Below are 3,185 nucleotides of genomic sequence, written 5' to 3' on the forward strand. Positions count from 1 at the left end.
AGGAAAGGCCCTGGTTGTTATTGAGAGACATATAGGGGAATTATTTGTATCTAACTGTCCTCTTGACATCTTCACTTGGACATCTCAAAAGCTCTCAGAGCCCATGCCTCTCAGCCAGGACGGCTAGAACAGCTGGGGACTGGCTGGAGGCTCTTTATGTCCATGGTGTCTCTTCAGCAGTGTGTCAGAGATTTTTACAAGGTGGCTGGCTTCCAAGAGGGCAAAAGAGTGGAAGCTGCAAGCTTTTCAAAGCCTGGACTGAGAAGTCCTAAAATATCACTTTTATTTTTCTGATCAAAGCAAGGCATATGGCTGGGCAAGCCCAAGGCCAGCCAGAATCAAGGAGAAGGGAAATAGACTCCATCTCTTGAGGAGAGGAGTGGCAGGTGTAACCAAGAATGAGAAGGATAGTAGGTGGCTCTCTCTGGAAACAAAAGTGCCACAAAACTGGTGAGCAGCAGAGTTGAGGCTCCAGCCCATGCCTGTCTAGTGCCAACTGCACACCACCACACCATTGATCAGATCATGGACTTCTCAAGCTTTGGATTTGGACCACTGAATAACTCTTGAAATCATCCAGTGGTCCAAATCCATCACTGTCTTAACCTGGGTTTTCTTAGAAGCAGGACATGAGGCCCAATTTGAGTATAAGTGGTTTATTTGAAAGGTGACCCCAGGAAGCCCTAATAGGGAAGAATTATGACAGGGATGGAGGGATGGAAACCATTAAAGAGTGCCAATGAGAAGGTTATGTTGTAGGCACCTGGACTTCAGTCTTGCTGGGATTCTGGGAGGTGGTCCAGAACACACCTGAGGGGCCAGGAAGCTGGGGTGTTTATTCTTCCGCTTCCCACTCTGGGGCCAAGATCCCATCCTAGACCCATAGAACTTCTGTTTGAGCTGATACTTCTTTTCATGCTTGTTCAGGATACCTTCATTCACTGGCTCCCAGTTATGGAGGCTTCTTATTGTCATGGCCCCTGGGCTGGAGAGGCTGTATTGCACCATGGAGTCACATGCAACAACCCAGTCAGGCTCTTTAGCTGCTAATAAGACTCCAGACTCTCCCAGAGCCAAACGTATTTCCTCTGCTTGGATCTCTGGGCTGTCCCTGCATCTAAAAACCCAACAGTGTCTTCTGGCTGCAAGAGCTGGAATTAGAAATTGTGATAGACTGTTACTTTGCAGCTGTTGGAGAATTATGCCTCCCAGTATTTCTGTTCTTGTGTAGTCTCCTTCCACATAGACTTGAGCTTGGCCATGTGATTTGCTTTAGCCAATGGGACATTAGCAAATGTGATGCAGGCAGAGGCTCCATAAGTGCTTGCACATTGGGCCTTTTCCTCTTGCTCCCCAGCCACCATACTGTGAGGAAGTCCAGGCCATCCTGCTGGAAAGAGAGATCATACGAAGAAAATACACCGTGAGAGAGATAAGCCACAGGGAGGAGCCCTCAGCAATCAGACATGCGATCTGTATCTTCCAACCCAGCCCAGTCACCAGTCACCAGTCAAATGCAGTGAAGAGACAATACATGAACTGCAATACAGAGCAATACAGAAGAACCGCCCAGCTGGGTCTTGTCTGCATTTCTGACCTTCAGAATCTCCAGCAAACAAGATGGTTCTTGTTTTAGGCCACTGTGTTTTCTAGAAATAGATAACTGAAACAGCACTGCGGGCCTTGCTACCCATATGCATCTTTGTAGCTTCTGCTTCCTAAGTTTACTGACACCACACTTCTTTCCCTCTGTAGGTTGAGAAAATGCTTATTGAAAGACACTCAGCACCCAGTTTGAGGAAGCAGGGAATTAGGACAATGAGTGCTGAGTGCTGCCTCTTTGGTTCCGGGCAAGATGGGAGTGGTAGAGAGGTAATTGCACGTGTTTGATGGTGCTACCCAGCAGAGATGCCCACTGATGCCACTGAAATTCTCAACAAGGAGTGTGGTGAGTTCTCTGCCTCACTGTGGGGTTCTGACTTCTCACTCAAAAGCAAGAATTGAATGCTCAACTCTAGGCATGGCCTAGGAAGGCCACAAGGAGCTCTGAGTAATAGGCCAGCTTAAGATCCCTTTACCAACTGGTGAGAGCTGGAAGACCTGCCTCAACAGGGGGCTCAATTGGACCCAGGTGCTGCTGACAATCTTGTCTTGGCTGCTAAAAATCAACTGAGAAGACACAGATACAGCTGAAATCCCAGGGCTACATAAAAACAAAAGCAGAAAACAGTATTAGGGACTAATCATCCTGTAGGGTTTCTCAGTGAGTTCCATTGCTATTTGTGTCCAAAAAGCATTACTGAATGAAAATGTCACGTCTGAGCACTGAGTTTTGCATCCAGTGGTGAATGCGTACCCAAACTACAGGGGAAAATTTTTAATTCCCATAAAAATATGCAAAGTTACTAATTAAAAATCTTCCCCATCCACATTAAGATCACCAAGTGAGTAAATCTCACAAGCTGATGATTGTACCCAGTTCAGATTTTATTAATAAAATCTAATTTGTTTTCCCAGTTTTATGGATTAGATTCCCTCGTTATGTTATTTATTCCTACCACCTTTTCTTCTTGAATCACAAAATAAATGTCAATTTCAGAAGTTAGATGGTGAATATTCATCTCTCTCCCTAGAATATTGTGGGTGGGAGGCTTTTTTTCCTGATTTAGAAGGGGAAAAAAATCACAATTTAAATATGAAGTACGCATAAAAGAATTGAAAAGGTATTATAAAATGTTCTTTTTTAATTCTCTTTTTATCTCCATTCCCTGCTCTCATTATTCTTCTCCCTGTAGAAGACCATTCTAATATATTTAATGAGTATTGTTTTGTTCCTATGTCTTCCTGGAAATGTGCACTGTTGTTTTGTAGGCATGTGTTTAAAATTGTTGTTACTAGTATTATGTTACAGATCCCATTGTTTCTTCCTTTTTTTAAAATTCAGCACTGTGTTTCTAAGATCTATCTATGTTGCTATATGAACATCTGATCTACTGATTGTAACTGCTGTAGGGTACTCCAGGAAGTTCATTCTCCACATTTCACCTATTAATTCTGCCGGGGATGGACACTCTAATGGCTTCCAACCTTGGCCACATTAAGAAACATTATACTGAACATCCTTGTTCATGTTCCCTAACAAGCCCAATAAAATAAATGTCCATGCATTTACTCATGGATCATAG

The sequence above is a fragment of the Homo sapiens genome, chromosome 15, assembly GCF_000001405.40.
Source record: "Homo sapiens chromosome 15, GRCh38.p14 Primary Assembly".
Lineage (NCBI taxonomy): Eukaryota > Metazoa > Chordata > Mammalia > Primates > Hominidae > Homo > Homo sapiens.